Source organism: Homo sapiens, chromosome 14, assembly GCF_000001405.40.
Source record: "Homo sapiens chromosome 14, GRCh38.p14 Primary Assembly".
In the NCBI taxonomy this organism is placed as follows: domain Eukaryota; kingdom Metazoa; phylum Chordata; class Mammalia; order Primates; family Hominidae; genus Homo; species Homo sapiens.
The window spans coordinates 26,453,972-26,476,982 of record NC_000014.9 but is presented as its reverse complement, the minus strand read 5'-3'; the positions used below and the strand labels follow the sequence as shown (position 1 = coordinate 26,476,982).

The window sequence follows — 23,011 nt, the reverse complement described above, 5'->3', positions numbered from 1 at the left end:
AGCACTTTGGGAGACTGAGGCGAGCAGAGCACCTGAGGTCGGGAGTTTGAGACCAGCCTGACCAACATAGAGAAACCCCATCTCTACTAAAAATACAAAATTAGCCGGGTGTGGTGGCGCATGCCTGTAGTCACAGCTGCTGGGAGGCTGAGGCAGGAGAATCGCTTGAACCCTGGTTGTGGAGGTTGCAGTGAGCCAAGATCGCGCCATTGTACTCCAGCCTGGGCAACAAGAGCGAAGCTCTGTCTCAAAAAAAAAAAAAAAGAAAAGAAAAAAATTCAGAGGCGTGTAAAAGAAATACAGGTCAGAGTGACAGTTAATAGTCTTGTAAATAGATGAAAACTTGACTGGACCTTGAAGAATGTATAGGAATAGCCTAATTAGAGTAGAAGAAAGAAAAACACTTATTTTAGGAAGGTGAAATGATGTGAATTTGGGGAGAAGGGTATCATATTTGTTGAATAGTAAGGAGACTGTATTGGCAGAAGTGGGACATTTATGTTGCAGTCGAGAGGGAATTAATGTTAGATAGATGTTAGGGAGCCAGATAATGAAAAACCTTGGATGTCTAATCAAAGGACATCCTATGGAATACAGATTTGCCAAACATTTTCCTAAAGAGCCCTTTTAATTTATCTGGAAGATTTTGGGGGGGAAAAAAAAGAAGTCACTTATGCTGTTTGTTCTCTCTTGCATTAAAAATCCAGACAGACTCTTAGGGTGCTTGTAGGTACAGCTATTCATAGGAAAAGAGAACTGTGAATTGACTAGTTCAGATGCTGGAAGACAGTTCACATGTTGGAAAGAGGAAGATATTTGTCAGAAATTAAAAACTAAAGATGACAGTTAAATATTTAAATATTTTATTCATTTTGGTACAGTATGTATACAAATGTTACAGTACACAGATTTATTTAACAGAACTCAAAATAGGGGATTGGGAAGGTGATTACTTCAGTAATGTTACTTCACTAGTAATAGATTTTGAATTACAATTGAGATTTGTTGTTCGTCGCTGTTTTCACTTTGCCTATAAATACCAGAGGTTCTTGACAGTCTATTACTGCAGACTTGCTTGAAAGCAAGCTCTGTTTATTACAGTGTTTATTAATAATAATATTCTCTGGCCCAGCAAAACTGTCATTTGTTAACAAGAATTCATCTCATAATTTGTAATAGTCACACTTATTTCCAAAAGCCTAGTTATGTCTACATTTAATTACCTACTGTTAAATTCTTGATTTTTTAAAAAACTATATTCCAAAAGATCCACTGTTTTAAAATTGTTAATAATTATTCTGCATTAAGTATTTTCACCCTTCAGCGTCTAAAGAATTATTAAACAGCCATTCAAGTAATGTAGATAAAATATATATTATGCTTTTCCGTTTGAAAGAAAAAATGGCACTGAAAACTGAGTCTGTCCTTCACATTCATTATTTGAAAAATGTAGAAAAAAATTTTTGTAGGACTGTGTGCTTTGTTCTAACTAATATATCAGTATATAATGTTATGTGGATATTCAGTTAATTACATCTTCATGATGTATATCAGAAATTTTACTAAAGGATATTTAACATGAAACCACTAAACTTTAACTCTGTACAGTAAATGGATGTAAACAGTTTGCTTATAAAATGTTAAGGCAACAGGCCAGGTGCAGTGGCTCTTGCCAGTAATCTGAGCACTTTTAGGAGGCCAAGACAGAGGATTGCTTGAAGCCAGGAGTTTGAGACCAGCCTGGGCAACAAAGCGAGACCCTGTCTGTATAAAATAATGATGATAATAATAATATAATAAAATATTAAGGAAATAAACAACTTGTACATTTATATTGCACATTGAAATATTTCTTACGGATTTTTGTTTTATAAGAAATCTGTATGGCTTTATCTGTATGGTTGAGAACAACTATCACACCTGTTCCATTAATTTAATAATCTTTTACAAGTATTACTTTAGTATATTTACATTTAGCTGTTTATGAGAACACTTTTTCTCCTAGTATTTAAAAAACAATCAACTGAAAGGAAACTTTCGAGGGTATTTTTATTGTTATAAATTGAATTTATAAAGCAGGGGTCTTTTTGTGCTTAAAAGTATTTATATGAATAATAGCTGCAAAACTTGTCACATCTTTATTTCATTACATTTTCATTATTTTAATAATTTAAACTAAGAAAATATAGAGACAACTTACTGTAACATTTCAACACTCTTACAACTTGAAACCCAAACTTACATAATTTTTACTTGTTTATTAAATATATTAAAATGTAACCTCTTAACAGATTATGATGTTTACCAACCAAAAGTTTAATTATCTTAGGCACATTGATATTGTCTAGAAATTTAAAATCATTGATTTTATTCCTGTAGGAAAGAAACAGCATCACAATTATTAGGGATAATTTTGATGAATGTAAGTTCTATCAATTATTAATACATGTCCAATATTTTATATATATGCCAAGCAAAAAGAAAGGCAATAAAAATCGACAGATTGTATTAATCTAAGTGATTACAAATTCTGAGCCATTCGATATTAAATTTTAATTTTAATTAAAAGTTCAATTTGCAATTAAACTTTTTCTACATGGTTCTTTGCAGTTAAGACCTTGTTGAGAATTTGTATCCAAGACAAGGTGGATGTCATATTAAACCTGTAGTACTTCAGAATTATTTTCCATTAGATAGTACTTCTAATGGAAATAGAAGAGCTCAACACACATAGAATCGTGCTTCTGTAGGTTAATCAACATGGATTCTAACCTGTATTGGGAGAAATGATCTCTAGATTTAACACATACTTAGTCACCAGACTCATTATTAATCTGAGATTAGTACTGAATAGATTTTTACATGTATGTTAACTCCTCCCAGGTATCCTCTGTAGTAACAGTTGTAACCAATGGTAGAAAAATAAAACCTTTACTGTTCAATTCATAGAACAATCATAGCATGGAGTCATTAGCATATGTCTCAGCAAAGTATTGCATGGAAAATAAAATATTAGGGAAATTTTTAATGATTGGAAATGAAGTCTCTCTTGAGAAATAGCAAGAATTAATTATAAAAAACAAAAATAGAAAACAAAAGATTTAAAACTTTTTTAGAATTTTGAGGATTTACTGATTACTATAGCTGTCCTACCCCTTTTTTGTATGATTTGGTAAAAATCTTGGTTTGACTCACTATTGTAGGTTTCCTAGAAGTACTTAGGTTTTAACTTTAGAAGAATCAGGAATTATTTGAGGAGTGGACTATGTAAAACATGGTATGATGTTAGAAACAGTAGTATTTTGTTACTGGAGGGCAGTGAATTAACCAGAAGCCTGGAAATTTCTTATTCTTTTTTTTTATTTTTAACTCTTAATGGCTTTATTGTACGCAAATTACAACTTTTGAAATGTCAAATGCAAAAATATGACTTCAAGTAATTTCATCTGCTTTTCCTGACACTGCTGAACCTTTAAAGTTATGCTTTTGCTCATATCTGAGTAATTTTGACAAATAGATATTAATATAATATAAAACATAATGTCCATATACAAGTGTATCTTCAATATAAAAACCTATCCCATTTCACCTGTTTAGAAATATTATCTATTGAGGACGTAACATAAGCAATGCTATTTTGCTTAGTGAGCATATGACACTTAAAAAAATTCTAAACATCTTACACTTTTAAGGTATTTCTGTTAGACATAAGAACTTTTTTAAAAATCTTAATGAATTGTTCAACATGTGTAGATGGCCTTATACAACATATTATATATATATAGTAAGTGTATATGTTTAGAAGTGAACAATAAATATGATTCCTAATATTTTTGTGTTTATTTTTAACACAGCTGATGATGCTATATTATACTCTTCATCTATATTAAATTTACTCTTTAAGATAAATAATAAAAATATTATGATGATTTGTTAGAATGCTATTAGTTACCTGTTTATTAATATGAGGTTAATGTTTACATTTTCAGACGGGCCTTAAATTTATTAAAAATTAATATTTTAGAAGATAATGTGATATTAAGAACTCAGAACTTCAAATTTAATTGCTTTTAAGTATGGATCCCTAAATTCATGTGGAATCAACTTGTTGGTGATGTTCAACATATTAAGTAGGTGGATAATTTTATGCCAAAGTAAACTTCATTTCACCACTTCTTCAAATCTCCGACTGTATTCATCGATAGGAAAGTGACTCTTTTGGTTTTATTCATTGAACTTCTTGAATTTTTTTTTTTTTTACATCTCTTTTCCCCAAGAAAACAAGAGGGAAAGAAATGAAACTACTATTCATGAATATGGTCAGGATACTTTTAGTACTCATGTGAATTTTTATCAGTCACCATCATGATTTCAAGTCATGAATTTATTTTTACATGCTTATGCATGCATCTTTACATGCATTAGTTACTTAATTGATGTTAAAATCCATTAAATTCAAATGAATAGGAGAAAAATTTGTTCATAGGATTTTGTTCTCGTTATATTACATTTTATTTTATTTTGTTTTATTTAAATAATCAGTTTAAGGCTTATAAAGGTTGATTTGCTCCTGAACTGCTTTGTTTCCCAGACATTGCCATCTTCCCCAACTACCACCAAGTCCTCTCCATCTGATCCCATGACCACCTCCAGAGCTAATCAGGTACAGTATCATCCTGTCATCTACACCATACTTTTCACGGGTGATTGCCTGCAAACTGGAGAAAAAGATAATGGTGGGTTAAGGATTTATTCGTTCATTCACATATATGCACCATAGTCAGATTCCAAATAACCTAAGAAAGAAATATCAATTATTTCTAAAATTTTATATGCATTTTTAATTTTAGATAACAAATACTATATTCAGATATTAAACTACTCTAATTTTTTATTATTTTTCCTTAAAATTTGACTACCTAATGGAGCACTGAAGCCTATTTATTGAATTGGTATTTTTAATCTCCCTTATTGTATCTTCCTAGAATTTTTCATATGTAAGTTAAGGATATCATATATGTAAAAAAAAAAATGTATAAATTGAGCAAAGGTATATCTTTAAAAGTGAATGCAATTTTATTTGCTTTTTATTTGAGACATGCCTTATGATGTAAACAACTTTCAACTATTGATGAAAAGCATTTCTAGCAATCTAAAAGAAACTGAAAATTGGTATTTGTGGTAATTTTAATGTTTAACAACTCAGGAGATGGTGTTTTCTTAGTATTTTAAAAAATTCTAAGCATTTTCATTGCTCTGCTGACAAACTTTGCAAGTAGAATATATTTTATTAGTTTGATTTATGATTGTTTTGGTACTATTTGTAGGTCATTCTTCAAAAATGTAGTTATTTTTGACAAATATAAGAAGATTATCTAAAATATTTGTGTAATTCAGAGCCATACTGTACTTTAATTTGACAATGTTGAATAATATATTTATTAAAATTATTAAACACATTTTTATTTTGTGTGAGTTGAGCTTCATTTAGGTGAGAAATGTTATTTTCTTTAATATTTTTGCTTTTTTTAATAATAAAAGGCTTTATGGGGTTATTTAAATATTAAATATAAGCTTATCTGTTTAATATATTTTTCATATAGTTGACTAACAAATTATTAACTTTGAACTATATTTGCTAAATATATTAAATGTGGCTTTTGCGTATTATCTAATATAAGACTATCAGAACTATTTTGCTGATTTTTTTATCCTAATACTTTTGCAACCTGAAGAAAGATTTAAATATAATAACTGGAAGCAAAACTAACATTTAGGATGATATTTTATACTACAGGTTTGATTTTCATTTTATGCAATAGCGTTCCCTTCAAACAAAAGCATTTTATAATGCAAACATTTTTAGGCCCAGTAAAGTGGTTAGTAAATACACATCTGCAGTGTTGTAAAACCCAACACTTCTCTTTGAAGGAAATGGTACTACATAAAGTGACAACCAAGCTTGTATTACAAATGCATGAAGTTTAAAAGTATACTTACATTTTTACTCTACATACCTTGTCTTTTACTGAGTTTTAATTATATGGTATAAAAACCTTTTAGGAAAACAACTGATTTTGTGTTTTTAATATTTCTTTTGTACTTTATTGTTCAGTCTTTTCCAAATGTAAACGTGACAAACACAACCACAATACAAATAAAACGAATGATTTTTCTCAAGGTAAAAAACCTTGGATCTAGAAAAGAAAACCTCCTTAATAATTTTGCCTTTGAAGCTAAATTTGTATTTTCTTTCATTTATTCTTATATGAACTTGTGAATCTTTATAAAATGGTTTCTTTAAAAGGCAAATTATATATTTTAGTTTACTAATGTTGTATTTTCACCCTCTAGATAAAGTGCTACATTTACCCTTGCCAAATCTAAATTTTGCTATTTTGAAATAATAAGTCATTTGTAATTTTATATTCTGTCCACTATACTCTGTTATATTGTTACTTATACTCTGTTTTCTTCTGTTCTTGTACAAAGAAGCATAATATCTCCTGGATATCATGAAGCAAGATATAAGAGAAGAACAAAACAAAATCCGTAATTCATTGAAAGAATTGTAATCATCAATCTTTCATATTATTAATACTTTGTAATTATTTTCTCCCCAACAGTATTTTCCAGTAGATTCTAATCATGTGGTAGGGCAGAAGGAAATGTGTTTTTTGTTGTTCATTTGTTTCTTGTCAATAGTCCTGATTAATTTAGCTTTGCTATACTGACTTATATCTGGAAGTATATAACCAAGATAAGAAAATAGGTTTTAATATGATCATCTTAAGCTAATTGTAATGAAAAGAACTAATGGACTGTCAATATTCAGAAAACCAAAAATAAAAAATACAGAAAACTATTCAAAGAGTAAGTTTGATCTGCATTTCCAATATTTAAAAATACTTTTTATTATTTTAAAAATGATGACATGTTTCAGTACATACCGAATTTTACTTTATTAACCTTGAGACCCCTTAACACGTTTCCGTAGGTCAGACTGACAGACTCTGACTACAGTGTTGTCCTATAATAATTTCCTTCTTAAAACTGAAAGACTATATGAGAAGCCTTATAAAATGATGGCATGGTGGCTCACACCTGTAATTTCAACACTTTGGAAGGCCGAGGCAGGAGAATCACTTGAGGCCAGGAGTTTGAGACCATCCTGGGCAACATAACATAGCCAAGACCCTGTCTCTAAAAATGTATACATTTTGAAAATTAACTGGGCATGGTGGCACTTGCCTATAATCCTAGCTACCTGGAGGCTGAGGCGGAAGGAGTGCCTGAGGCCAGGAGTTCGAGGCTGCAGTGAGCCATGATCATGCCACTGCTCTCCAGTCTTGTGTGTTACCTTAAGTCTCAGTTTTCCCGTCTGTGAAATTCAAATAATATTGCCTCATAGGATTGACATAAGAAATGAAGAACAGTTACCTCTTCCTAGAACAGTGTCTTGAATGTAATAAACATCATATAAATGTTAGGTTATGTTTATTTAATTTCTTATCTGTCAAGTGCTAATGAAAAAGATTATTCTTTAACGTAGTAAATAATAAAGCAAATGGCTTATTAAAGCTTTTGAGTTTTGCCTTTGGAAAGATTCTAGTATTAGTATTGGCTGTTTTTTCAACTCTAAAATATTTCTGTAATTAAAGCCTGTCTGCTTTAAACTACTTTACAATTATTTTCTAGTAAGAATACTCAGTTACTTGTTGCCTAAAAATACATAAAATTGCTCTTCTTCCCCTACTGAAGAAGAAACGTTATAAGAACTAACAGTTTTACAACTTGTATTTCTGTGCATGTGTTTCATATTGTAAGGTACAAGTTTGATATTCTTCTACACGTGGAGTTTTAAATATGAAGCAGATATAAAGATATAGCAAATAGATCAAATTATTTAAAGCAACATGTTTTAACTTTCAAATAAAACTTAAACAGAATCAGTAGCGTTCAATCAGTTCTAAGTTATTAATACTAAGTTACTCAGTCACTCCATTAAGATTCAACAAAATGGTTTTGTTAATCAGTGGTACCAAAAATTAAATTTTGGTTTTAACCTTAGTCCTTGTTAGCTCTCCTGGAATTTTTCTGAAATTTCATGAAAAGAATAAAAGAATGATTTCAGAAATATGTGTTTATAAACATTTGTTTATTTACTGATAAGTTTGAAATTATAAGCATTTATCAAATTGTATAAAACACATGAAAATAGGTAGCTCATATATAGTACCCTTACTATGGTTGCAGAAAAATAAAAATAAAAATAATTGGTCTCACTTTAAATTCATGACCACAAGTCACAAATGGATTCTTAATTCTGTCATTTGTAAGCTCATTGACTTTCTTATTCTCTTATTCTCTAGATGACTATTTCACAACCTCTCCTCTCTTTTCAATCCTGTATTAGTTTTCTATTGCTGTATAACAAATTACCACAAACTTAGTGGCTTAAGCAACACACATTTATTTTCTTATAATTTCTGTAGGTCAAGAGCCCATGCATGACTTAAGCCAGGCAGGCTGAGCCCTTTGCTTGTGACCTCACAGGGCTGCAATCAGTGTTGGCTGGGCTGCATTCTCACCTGTAGGTTTGACTAATATGCGTCCCTGTTCATCCAGGTTGTTGGCAGCATTCAATTTTTGTGAGGGTTTTTTTTTTTTTTAACCTGTTTGACTGAGGGCCACAACTTATAACTGGCTATTGGCTACAGGCAACTCTCAGATTCTAGAGGCCACCCACAGTTGCCTGCCACACGTCCCTCTCCACAGGACCTTCAAAACTTGGCTGTTTGCTTCTTGCAAGGCCAGTAGGAGAATCTCTCCACATTGTGTGCCAGCAAAAATGGAGTCTTATATATTGAACCAAATCACAGGAGTAACGTTCTCACCACCTCTACCCTACAACATAATTTAATCATGCTAATGACATTGCATCACTTTTGCCATATTCTTGTAGTGAGAAGTAAGTCATGTGTCCCACTCACACTCAAGGGGAGAAGATTGTACAGGTTGTAACACCAGTGGGTAGAGATCATGGAAGTTTTCAAAGAATTGTCCCTACCACAACCCCCACAATGTTTCTTGCTTCTTATTCTCTCCCGGCTAATGACCTTACTTCCTTTCCTACTTCACTGAGAAGATTGAAGCAATCAAAAGTAACTTCCACAAACTCATACCAACACATACTTAATGAAGCAGCATTTGTACCCACATAGTCTGCCTTCTCATCAATTACTATAGGTAAATTTTCCCTGCTCTTGTCTAAAACCATTCATTTCAGTTGTCCATTAAACTTCATTCTTCCTTTACTCAAGAACATTCCTGCAGCAATTCTACCTTCTCTCTCCTTTTTCTGTCAAGTTTTTGCTCTCTACAGAATCATTCCCATCAGTGTGCAACTGTTTTTTCTCTCATCTTAGAAAACCAAACAAAACTTTCTTAATGTCACTTCCCCCACCAGCTAATGCCCTATTTCTTCTACTCCTTTGTAGTAAAACTTACAAAGTATTATCTCTACTCTCTATTTCCCAGTGTCTGTATTCCCATTCTTAAATCCACTTCAGTCAAATTTTTGCCTCCGCCATTCCACCAAAACTCTTTGCCAAGGACATCAATGATGAGCACTTTGCTAATTCCAGTAGTCTGTTCTTAGTCTACATATTACTTTATCTACCAACAGTATTTGTTAAAATTTATCACTTCCACCTCCTTGGCATACTTTGTTTACTTGGCTTCCAGGATACTACCCACGTTTGATTTTCCTCCTGCCTGGTTCCATTTTGCTTCTTCTCAGAATCCTTTGCTAGTTTATTCTCTTATTTTTATCTACTTAATGGTGAAGTGCTCCAGGTCTCAATACTTGGGAATTCTTCTGAGTCTTCTTTCTCCATTACCTTGGCTTTTATATGCTGACATCTGTGAAATTTGTGTCTCCACTGTGGGACAAATGTACTGTTATCTTAGTCCATTTTGGTCCATTTTGTGCTGCTGTAACAGAATACCTGTGATGGTAATTTATAAAGAACAGAACATTTTTTCTCACAGCTCTGAAGGCTGGGAAGTCCAAGATCAAGGCACTGGCATCTGATGAGGGCTTTCTTGCTGTGTCTTGAAATCGCAGAAGACAGAAGTACAAAATGGGGATGAATGCTGTGTTCCTACATGGCAGAAGAGGAGAAGAGAGAAAACTCAACTCCTGAAAGCTCATTTTGTAGTGTTATTAATCAAGTCCTCATGAATTAAACACCTCCCAAAAGGCCCCACCTCCCAAAACTGTTGCATTGAGGATTAAGTTTCCAACACATGAATTTTGGAATGGACAAAAACATTTTAACCATAGCAACCATGAACTAAAGAAGCTTAATCTTTATTATTCCTCACATGTGCAGAATTATTACCTAATTTTATGTTCACAATTTTAAATTTTGTTTTCCCAAAGATGTCCTCTAAAATTGTATATGCTTCAGGCCCCACATAACTTGTGTTCACCTTTATCTCTGGTCCAGTTCTCACAGTAAAACTCCAGACTATGTCCAGTTCCCCACTCAGGCTTTCCACTTACATACCTAATTGACATCTTAAATACAGTAAGTCCAAAAACTACCCCTAACCTGTTCCTTTTAAAATAACTCAGTTTTTTATTTCTTTGCTGCCACCTGAAATAGTTTACCGTTTCGCTGAGTAAAAGCCAACATGTCAAAAATGGCCTTAGTTAACTTATAAGAAAAGGCCTTTGCCACATAATCTCTTTATTTCCTGCCACTGGCCTCCTCACTCATGTTGGCCCAACCACATTGACATTTGTTGCCCCTTGCAGACATCAGGCATACCCTCACCTCAGTATTTTTCTCTTGCTTTTCTCTGCATGAAATTCTCTTACCATAGAGATCTGCTTGGCTAACATCTTCATCGCTTTCTAGTCTATTCAAAATTCACCTTCTCCATAAGGCTTACCTGACCTCCTTATATGGCAACCTGGCCTCCCCCTTCCCCCCCTGTACTCCTGATTCCCTTTATCGTGCTGTTTTTTAAGCTTTTTTCCATTGCCTCATGAATACTGTATACTTGGCTTATTATCATGTGTATTGTGTATTGTGTTTCTTACTCTCTGAGTAAAGTAAATTGCATGAGGATAGGGTTTTTTTCTGTTTTATTCTCTGATGTATGTGAAGCACTAGCCTGGAGCATAATAGGTCCTCAGTAAATATTTGTTGAATGACTAGCGTTAGTTGAAAGAATAGGCTTACAAGTCTATATGCTCTAAAATTCTTTTTTTTTACAATATTTGAAATGAAATTTTGCATAGAATTCTCTCTAACAATATAAACCAACTAGAAAAGAATACTTATAGTTGAATGAAGAGATTAAGCTAAAAGAACATAGCCTTCTTGGCTTGATGTCTATTTTATGCCTTACAGTATTCAGAGCACAATTTGAAAACCAGCTGGGCACTTGTCTCAAATACGAATATTATCATAATTCTCCAACAAAATATAAAAATTAGGGCCGGGTGCAGTGGCTCACGCCTGTAATCCCAGCACTTTGGGAGGCCGAGGCGAGTGGATCACTTGAAGTCAGGAGTTCAAGACCAGCCTGGCCAACATGGTGAAACCTTCTACTAAAAATACAAAAATTAGCTGGGTGTGGTGGTGCACGCCTTTAATCCCAGCTGCTCAGGAGGCTGAGGGAGGAGAATTGCTTGAACCCGGGAGGCGGAGGTTCCAGTGAGCTGAGATCACGCCATTGCACTCCAGCCTGGGCAACAGAGCAAGACTCCATCTCAAAAAAAGAAAAATTAATTTGTATTTCTTTCAGCATATGTGTGAGTAGTGTATTGTGTTTGTGTGATATCAAGATAATGTTCATCAGAAATATATAAGAAGGTCCTAGAAATATCGTGACATCCATTTTTTAATGAACTTATTTATTTTGTTATGTCTATTAGATTTTATGTGTTTTGCTTATCACTAGGATGAGAGTTATGAAATTGCTGATATTTGATTGTAATTTCCTGTGGCTCAACCTAGTATGTATCATATACATATCAAAATTGCAAACATTCTTAGGAATAAATTGAACCAAAAACACTGAATTCATATTAAGTAATATACAATTTTTATATAAAGGCCTGAAACACTCCCTTAATGGATAGACTTACTATAATTTTCGTGGGGAAGATTTAATATAGGAATATCAATCCTTTTTAAATTAAAATATAAATATATTACAATTTTCATCATATTCCCATTTTTCTGGTTTCTGAGGTAAAATGATTTTAATATTCATATAGAAACAAATCCCTGATAATTACCATCAATCAGCTAATAAAAGAAATATCAAGAAACTAGTAATATTGAGATCAGCCAGCATTAAAATTTACTATAAATGTGTCACAATAAAAGTGGCGTACAAATAGATGCAATTGGTAAATGAAGTAAATAGATATTTCTGAAATAGATCCAAGTAAGGTCATGTATCACGGATATGTTCTGAGAAAAGTATCCTAAACGATATTGTTGTGTGAACATCATAGAGTGTATTTACATGAACCTAGATGGTATAGCCCATTACAATACACAACCTGTTGCTCCTAGGCTACAAACCTATACAGCATGTTACTGTACTGAATGCTGCAGGCAACTGTAACAGTGGTATTTGTATATCTAAAGATATCTAAACAGAAAAGGTAATGCTTTGGCTGCTACATCACTAGGCAGTAGGAACTTTGCAGCTCCATTATAATCTCATGGGACCACCATATATGTGGCCTGTCATTGATGAAAATGTCACAATGCAGCACATGACTATATATGGGAACTTAATGTATGATAAAGAAAAAGTGTGATCTAGGGATTTGGAGAACTGTGGTCTTGAGCCATAATACCTGGCTTCCAATCAAATCTTTGTTACATCCGAATTTTATAATGTGTGAGGCCACATTTTTTTATTTTGCCATGCGTGTTTTCTCATTGTAAAATGTGACTACCTACCTCGCAGAGTTGTCATGACTTTTAAATGAACAAATACATGAGAAGTATTTAGAACACTGCCTGGTCCAGAGTAATGTATAAGTGTAATTTTAATTCATTATTAAAAAGGATGTTTTATTTTATGAATGGTGCTGGTATATTGACTGTCCACCTGAAAGAAAATAAATTTCCACCTCAGACGATATGCAGAAATAAATCCCAATGCATTCAAGATTGAAACTGTAAGACTATTTGAAATTATGGTGTACGAAATCAAGGATGACTTAAGCAAGGAAGAAATCCAAAACATAAAAAGTTACCAGATTTGAGTATATAAACATTTATTATTTTTGGTATAGCAGAATATGCCATTAATAAGCAAAAGAAAACAGTACATTTGGAAAAAATATCTTGAACACATGACAGTTAATTCGTATCACGGCTATACAAAGAACTCCTAGGTTCATATGAAAACCCAATATAAAAATGAAAAGACAATTTACAGAGGAGGGAGTGGAAATGTCCAATACAGATATAAAAACATGTTTAACTCACCAGTCATCAGGGAAATTGGAATCAACATCACACAGTTGCACTACTTTATATCAGATAGACAAAACTTTATGTTTGTGTATAATACACATATCAGAAATTCAAGACGTGTGTGTGTTTATAAATCTAAAGTGCTGGCAAAGATACAAGAAATAAACATGCTCATACAATGTTGATACAAGAAATGCTACATTACAGCTTTTGAGATCTATCCTGTAAAACTTACTGCACCAATACTTAGAAACAAATAAAAGAACGTATGTATGATAAAAGTTGGAAACCAATTTCACCCTTAATCACAGGAGAGTGATTAAATAAATTCTGATATTGCAGAATAGTATCTGGTGAAGCTATTTAAAATGCTGAGTTAGATCTGCATAAACTAGCCTAGAATATTGTCATACAATATGAAGAAAATTAAGTTGCTAAGAAACATTTGGCCCTATCTTTAATAGTCAAAGAACTTTGTTCATGTATTATTAGAGTGATGACAAGGAATATGAAAATCACTACATTTCCCTTCTTATATCTCTACTTTGTTTTTAAAATATAACAGAGGATACAAAAGATAATGGAAAACAAATCCTTATTTCAGTTGTGGTATATGCAATGTTTTAAGGGAAAGAAGGTAATTTCCCAAGTGGAAAATTGGTTGTCTTTGACATTACATATGCTTTAAAGCTACTTGGCGTCTTGATTTCCTACTTTTTTGATGCTTTATTGAGGTCAAGAAGACTCACTGGGGAGAGGCTTCAGGCCTAGAGGAAGCACTTACTGACTGGCAAAGGGAGTGGCAATTGCTTCATATTTTAAAGTTATGCCGAATTAAATGATTGTGTAACATATGTAATATTTTTATTTATCCTTTTGAGTTAAAACATGAAAAATACTCAACTCTAGCTTTATATCAAAATTACCTATGTAGATTCTTAATTAATAGACCTATTATGAGATTTTGCATCTATATTTGAACAGTCGGATAAAATATTTCATGACGCCTCTTGAAATGTTTGAGAAACACTATCACATGATAAGAGCACATTAGTTTATAATAAATTGATAATTGTGTACTATATGACACTGTCTCTTTTTTTTCAAGTGTTAATTCATTGAGACTTTACCATGAAACAATATACATACTTTGTGATTTGAAAAATACTAAATTTGTACAAAAGTTGAAGGGTAGGTATTAGTTTCAGCATTGAGAATAGTTGGTGTTTACTAATTAATACAACTTAAATCTATGAAGGGTTATTATACAAAGGATGATTATCCTTTTAGATATAATTAGTGAATGTGAAGGCCTGGGACGTTATTGTATACTGCTGTAGACTATAAACACTATACGCTTAGGGCACACTGAATTTACAAAAAAAAAATCTTTTTGTCAATAATAAATTTACCTTAGCTTAATACTTTTGACTATTATTAAATACAGTTAGAGGTTCTCTTAGAGATTTTTATATGCAGATTACATTAGGAGTTTTGTGGGATGTTTTTGTTTTTGTTTTTTGAGACGGAGTTTCACTCTTGTTGCCCAGGCTGGAGTGCAATGATGCGATCTCGGCTCACCTGAACCTCCCACTCCCAGGTTCAAGAGATTCTCCTGCCTCAGCCTCCTGAGTAGCTGGGATGACAGGCATGAGCCACCATGCATGCCTGGCAAATTTTTTTTTTTTTTTTTTTTAGTAAAGATGGGCTTTCTCCATGTTGGTCAGGCTGGTCTTGAACTCTCGACCTCAGGTGATCTGCCCGCCTCAGCCTCCCAAAGTGCTCGGATTACAGGCATGAGCCACCAAGCCCAGCCTACATTAGGAGTTTTTAAGGTCGTTTAGCAATATTCTTGCCAAAAATTATGGATATGATTAAATAAGTGCTTCCTGCCCATACTCATTCCATTGCAGACTTCTGAGTTTGCTAGTGTGCTGTAGTGTAGGTAGTCTATTATCCACACCAGTGACGGGAATCGGATCTCCCTTAGGGCAAGTTAAATAGTATGTGGTGAAGCTATTTAAAATACCACTGAAAGCAGCACACCAGTAATGTTTTCAGGTTAGTATTTTAACACAATATTTGGTAAATATCAGGTTATGTGACCTCCCAAAATCCCTTTTAAATGTGTGATTTTATATGAAGACGTTTTTAAGTTTATGAAACGCCTAAGACTTTAAGATTGAAGAAAGTGGTACACATCAGGGGAAAGAGTTAATGAAATAGTCGCTCTGTAACATTCCTTTTTTTACATCCCATATATGGCTCAGGCATTGGTAAAATGCATAGAATCCTGTGTCTAGTATTGGCTCATACTAGGTAGATTTGCAAGATTCTCTGGACCACTTGGTAGGCAAAGGTGGTTTCTCTGTTTCATCAAAGTTTTCCCTGCAGCCATAGCTGCAGTAATTCTTGCACACAACATGTTCTCAAGACAGAACATTATGCATGCCTTTATATAACCAAACCACTTAATGTCTCCTTATTCCACAATGTGTAGTTATCTTCTTGCTTTGTGTGTGTGTGTATACAGTTCAATAGAATTTTTCATTTTTCAAGCAAAGCCATATAAAATTGAAAATATCTAAAATAGTAGAATTGGATAGTTATCAAGTTTATTTTAAACATTTTAATTTTTTTAAAGAATGCTTAGATACATGAATGTCTTCACATTATTCTCTCAGATAAAAGTAATTTTGCAAAACTGGGGAGTTTGATACCTTCTCGTTTTGGAATTAAAAAAAGTGTTTTTCCTTGTTTTGACCTCAGAAATCTATAATTGCCCTTTTTGGTTATTAGTTTTTCTAATTTTTTATCATTGAATTTTTCCGGAGACAATAAATTGATCATTTTTGTTTATTCTGAACCTAATGCCATATAATTCATTTTATTGGTGTTTGGTTTAGCTCATATTTCTTATTCAATTACTCTTTAAAAATATTTTTGAAAAAGAAAACGTTCCTTTTTATTACCTGGCTTCAAATTGCTTTTAGCCAAGTAACAGAAGTTTAAAAATTAGTATATTTTATATATGATTTATGAAATATTATAAATGAACTATTTCACCCATATATATGAAAAGAATATAGTTTTGTGACTAATAGTACAGTTTGTTAAATGGCAGATGTGTTTCAGTAATCTTTTAAATGTTAATGTTTATATGGTTATTTATGTCAAGTATTAATGAAATACTAATGTATAACATTTTCATTTTCTTAATGACAGTCATTTGGGATAGTAAATAATCAACCTCCCATTACTAGTAAGATACTGAAATATCTTTATTTTATTTTTTAAAATGGATGTAGCTGGAGGCCAAATTAATGCAGAAACAGAAAGCCAAATACTGCTTGTTCTCCCTAATGAGAGGGAACTTATTTTTTAAAATAAGTATTGCCTTTAGGAAAACTGTTGGTGAAATTAAAATAATAAGAAATATATAATTCACCTAATCAGTAAATATAAAATACCCATAAGCAACTACAATTTAATAAATCATTTCAAAAATATGGCACATCAGACTTTTAACTAATAATATTTAATTTTAATGGTAAAAATGACAATAAAAAATGTATAAAGGTACAATAAAAATCCAAATTGTGAAAGTTTTCCTTATAACTTAATTCCCTAGTTACATAAGTTTAAATGGAGATGGATTTTCAAACATAGTTGAGACATTTACTTCCAATGTTACTTAGTTTGGTTATGTCATAGAGTATTAATCCATAAACAACTCAAAATTTTAAAAAGTTCTTTATTCCTAGATTAACTTTATTTTCTTACATAAAGTGTTTTTTATAAATGGGCATTCAGGTTAAATGCATGATTTTCATTTAAAACTATGATTTTGAATTTTCCTACTTAAAAATTTTAAAATATTTTCTAAATGTTCTTTTCTGTCATTTATCAACTCACTATTTACAGTCATGCATATTTTACAGTCATTTGCTTAATGATGGGAATATATTCAGAAAAATGCAGCATTAGGTGTTTCTGTCATTGTGCATACATCATGGAATGTACTTACACAAACCTGGAAGGTATAGCCTAATACACACCTAGGCCCTTGGTGTAACCTATTGCTTCTAAGTTACAAATCTGTACAGCATGTTACCTTACTAAATACTGTAGGCAGTTGTAACACAATGTTAACTATTTGTATATCTAAATGTATCAAAACAAAAAGCACATTAAAAGTATTAAAAATACAGAATAAAAGATAAAAAATGATACTCCTGTATATATGATACGTGTATAACATGTAATATAATATAATATACTCCTGTATAGGGAACTAACCATGAATAGAATTTGCTGAATTCTGTTCATTCACCCAGAGCTGGAAATTGCTCTGGGTGAGTCAGTGATTCAGTAGTGAGTGAATGTGAAGGTCTGGGACATTACTGTACACTGCTGTAGACTTTATCAACACTGTACACTTAGGGCACACTAATTGTATAAAAATAAACTTTCTTTAATAATTAGCCTTAGGTTAGTATAACTTTTTGCTTCGTATATTTTTTAATGTTTTTACTTTTTGGCTCTTTTGACTTCTAAACACTTAGCTTAAAACACTAACATGTTGTCCAAAAATATGTTCTTTTTCCTTATTCTGTACACTGTTTTCTTAATTTTGTTTCCTTTCAGCATTTATTTTAGATTTGGGGGTATGTGTACAGGTTTTTTGCATGGGTAATTTGCATGTCGTTGAGGTTTGGTGTATGAATGATCCCAAATAGTGAGCATAGTGCCCGATAGGTAGTTTTTCAACCCATTCCCCCTCCCAACCTCTCCCTTCTGGGAGTCCCAGTGTCTATTGTTGCCATCTTTATGTCCATGTTTACTCAGTGTTTAGTTCCCTCTCATAAGGGAGAACAAGCAGTATTTGGCTTTCTGTTTCTGCATTAATTTGGCCTCCAGCTACATCCATGTTGCTGCAATGGACATAATTTTCTTCCTTTTTACAACTGTATAGTATTCCATAGTGTATATATACCACATTTTACTTATCCAGTCCACCATTGATGGGCATATAGGTTGATCCCATGTCTTTGCTATTTTGAATAGTGTTGTGATGAACATACTAGTACATGTGTCTTTTATGTAAAGTGATTTATTTTCCTTTGTATATATATACCCAGTGGTGAGATTGCTGGGTCAAATAGTAGCTCTGTTTTAAGTTCTTTGAGAAATCTCCACACTGCTTTCCACAGTGGCTGAACTAATTTACATTCCCACCAGTAATATATAAATGTTCCCTTTTCTCTGTAACCTCTCCAATATCTGTAATTTTCTGGCTTTTTAATAACCATTCTGAGTGGTGTCAGATGATATCTCATTGTGGATTTGATTTGCATTTCTCTAACGATTAGTGATGTTGAACATTTTTTCATATGTATGTTGGCCACATGTATGTCTTCTTTTGAGGCATGTCTGTTCATGTCCTTTGCCCATTTTTAATGGGGTTGTTTGTTGCTTTTTTTCTATTTAGTTTCTTTTCATTTTGTTTTAGTTTTAAAACTTTTTAATTAAAAGCTAAGACACAAAAACTAAGACACACATTAGCCTACTCCTATACAGGGATGGTATCATCAGTGCCACTGTCTTCCCTGTCCACATCTTGTCCTACTGAAAGATCTTTGGGGGCACTAATACACATGGAGCTATCCTCTCCTGTGATGACAATGTGTTCTTCTGGATTACTTCCTGAAGGACCTGCCTGAGGCTGTGTTATCTTTAACTTTTCTTTTTTAATAAGTAAATGGAGTACAGTCTAGAATAATGATAAGAAGTATAGTGTAGTAAATATATAAGCCAGTAACAGTCATTTATCATCATTATCAGGTTTTATGTACTGTACACAATTGTATGTGCAATACTTTGTGTACAACTAGCAGAGCAGTAGGTTTGTTTACACCAGCATCACCACAAACATATGAGAAATGCCTTGTGATAGGACATTAACAACGGTTACAATGTCGCTAGGTGACAGAAATTTTTCAGCTCCATTATAATCCTGTAAGATCACCATTGAATACATGGTCTGTGGTTGAACCAAACTTTGTTATTTGGTGCATGACTGTGTATACATTTAAATATTTTGTTATTTTTATTATACCACTGGACTGTAAAACCTATGAAAACAGAGATCTTATCCTTTTTATTTACCCCTACATCCCCAACATTTGGAATTATACCTGGCACGTAGTAGCCACTCAATAAATAATTGTGCAATAAATTCCAGAAATGTGCCAAAATTATTTTTTAATTGTTCTACTTTTGGAGGATTCATTTATTCTGCAGCCTAATTTTGGACAATTGTTCCATTTCCTTTTGTTACACTGCTTTTAAAAAATAAGACAAAGTGTATATGGTAAGAGAAAAAAGCTCATCTGAAATGCAATCTCTATTCCTCCCTTTCTGTTTTACCTGAATATAATTATATACTTTTACATTATTTAACCCAAACTACATATATATATATGTGTGTGTGTGTGTATATATTTGTGTGTGTGTGTATATATATACATTCAACTTTGCATTGCTATTTTCTACATCATTTTATAATTTCATATAGTGTAGTGCCTGCATACTGTCCTTTGTATATGACATTTAGTGTTTTGACTTATAAACACTTACCTTAAAACACTAATACATTATGCAGTGTACTAGTGTTCATTGTACAGTGTACTAATACATTGTACAATGTCCTCTGTTTTGGAAATTTCCCCAGAAGAATTGCATAAGGACAGAAACAAAGTGAAAGATGATACCCATTTCAAAATTTGATGAATACTACAATATGATTTGCAAAAGACAATATATACGGACACCAATGTTTTAAAAAAGAAAAAGATAATAGTTTACCCCCTCCCTGATTTATATTTGGTTTATTTTTTACTTGATGATCAGTTTTGCTGCTCTACCTTGAATATCTTTCACCATTTTAGAAATTAAATATTTTCATACTTAATTCTTTAATTTTCATTATTTAACAATTTGCTTCACTTTTACTTCCCCCTAAATAATTTCATCTCTTCCTGTGACTTTAAATACAATTTGTATGTTAACTCCCACGTTTCCCCTGGCCTCCAGACCCATAATCAGCCACTTATTTGGCATCTTCACTTGGATGACTGATAGGCATTTTAAGCTTAAAATGGATAAAATAGAAATTCTTCCATCTTCATCTTTCACCCCTTTTCCACCATCTACTTCAATGAACACAGCCCTATGTTTATCTTCGTAGGTATTTTTTACTTTTTAATTTTAATGTTTAATTTACAACATTAAATTGAAAACATTAGTTTTCATTTCAAATATTCAAATATGTTGAATACATTTTTTGCTAATCAAAATTAAGAACTCTGAACATATGTCTTACTATATGTGCCCTGAAAGAGCTGGGCTAAAAAGAGGTGATTTAAAATAATAATGATTTCAAAGAGCTTTTTGTTAACTTGACACATGGATGATGAAGGCTTATAAGCCTTTCATCAGTATAACCTCAATTTAGTAAAATCTGGTTTAGTAAGCATTAAGAAGACAATACCCCAAATTATTTTCATTTTTAAATAATGGGCTTTCCTGCAATAGTTTATTATTATATGACCTTCATAGTTTTTTCATAGTTATTTAACTTCTAGTAGTTTTCTTTTGTGAAGTAATTATGTCTAGAGTGCTCATCATCTCAACAGGAATAGTTTGAAGTGCTTCTCTTCTGTTCCTCCTTCACCTAGAAAGCATAGATTTTTTTTTTCTATTTTTCTTATTCCTAAGTTATATCCCTCCCTGGGATATAGTGTTGTATATCTTTAAATTTTGAATAATGTTTCAGGAGCAAAGTGAAATAATGTGTTAAATGGAAAAATAAGTAAGTTAAATTTTGTCTTTAGAAAATTGTCTGGGTAATTCAGTGGGGAGTTGAAGGAAGGGTTCATTGAAGAATTTTGAACAGAATTTTCTCATAATGCTAAAATAAAGACTCCTTATCCTCAGTCTCACTAAGTTGCCTGATTTTATAGATGATGAAACTAAAGTCATTTGAGAAAGGTCACATAGCAGAGCCAGGGTAAGACCACGTATCTATTAATGGCCAATTCTATATTTGTATTATACTACACTATGCTTTAGATAGGATAAAGTAGTAAGACTGGAGAACAGCACATAATAGAACATATAGATGTAGGGAGCAGGAGAAGTCACAGATAGCTCCTAGGTTTAAAATCTGAGTGAGCAATGGGTGAAAGGTAAAAATACATGAGACAAGGTGGCATGGTATTTTATGAGAGATATTAGACAATGCTATGAAAACTGTTCTGCCTTGGATTTGGTTATCAAAAGTAGATTAAACAAACTAGTGGAAGTTGGAAGAACTGCTTTTTAAATTCTTTTGGATACTTCTATTCATGTAAATCTGTTGTACATATTTTATCAAATCAGTCATTCACACAGGCAGATTTTTATTTATTTGAAGTCTGTAATCGAAAGGATACCATTTTTCAATTTGCTTTGTTCAACAATTCAATGTAGATTCCCCAAAATGGCACATGTATCTCCACTGGATGCTACTAAGTGGAGCCTCAGTATCCTAAATTGTAATACATTGGGAAAATAAAAGGCATTTTTCTGGTTAGATTATATAGTGTATATCATGGTAAAAAGTAAATTAATCTACATGTCTTTCCTTACCAGAACTATGATATCTTGACTATTAAGTTTAAGAGATAAAATGAAATGTCAGTATTTTGATAGGCAAATAATGCATGATATAAAAAGAATGTAAAAATATTTTCAAAGGTACTTTTTGGTCAGTTACAAATTATAGAAGCCCTCAAAATTATAGAAATTATCATAATTCAATTCAAATTTCTTTAAGCAAAAAAGGGAGTTGTATTTCCTCTGTGATGGCTTTAGACAGGGTTAGATTCAGATGCCAAAAAATGCAGTCTCATTTTTATCTGAGTTAACTTCATTTTCAGTCAGGTTCTTCCTCTTCTCATAATAGTGGTAAGATAGCCACTAGCAATGCCAGGCTGGTGTTCTACTAGATTTGAAACACAAATATCTCTTTATCGACAAGTTTCCCAACTTCTCATGCTCTTGTTTGGCCATCCTGCGTCATGTGCTCAAACCCAAACCAGTAAAGGTTATGGGTGTGAGTATAGCAATAGGTCAGACCTGGGTCATGTTTTTACTTCTAAAGCAAGCTTGTGCAACCTGTGCCCCAGGATGGCTTTGAATGTGGCCCAACACAAATTCGTAAACTTTCTTAAAACTTTTCTGTTTTTTTTTTCTTTGCATTTTTTAAAGTTCTTCAGCTATCATTAGTGTATTTTATGTGTAGCTTGAGACAATTCTTCCAGTGTGGCCCAGGGAAGCCAAAAAATTGGACACCCCTGTTCTAGAGATATTGAAAGATTGTCAGCCTTATCTGAGGCACATACACTAAGAATGAGAAAGGGTGTTTTCCAGAGGAAAACAGGGGCTCT

The 23,011-nt window shown here is 32.5% G+C and overlaps 1 protein-coding gene across 13 annotated transcripts in view; it reads left to right on the top strand.

The window, feature by feature from the left end:
* The window catches only part of NOVA1 (NOVA alternative splicing regulator 1), a 154,944-nt gene that overhangs the window by 121,051 nt on the left and 10,882 nt on the right, over positions 1-23,011 (top strand). For 8 of the 13 annotated variants that reach the window (NM_001366392.2, NM_002515.3, NM_001366391.2 and 5 more), the window contains one exon: positions 4,592-4,663. The exons of 4 other annotated variants lie outside the window; for them this stretch is intronic. In NM_001366392.2, coding sequence (NP_001353321.1) covers positions 4,592-4,663 — 72 coding nt within the window. Of the gene's footprint in view, positions 1-4,591; positions 4,664-6,492; positions 6,858-23,011 lie in introns of those variants that run through there. One more of the 13 variants, NM_006491.3, reaches the window with a different exon arrangement.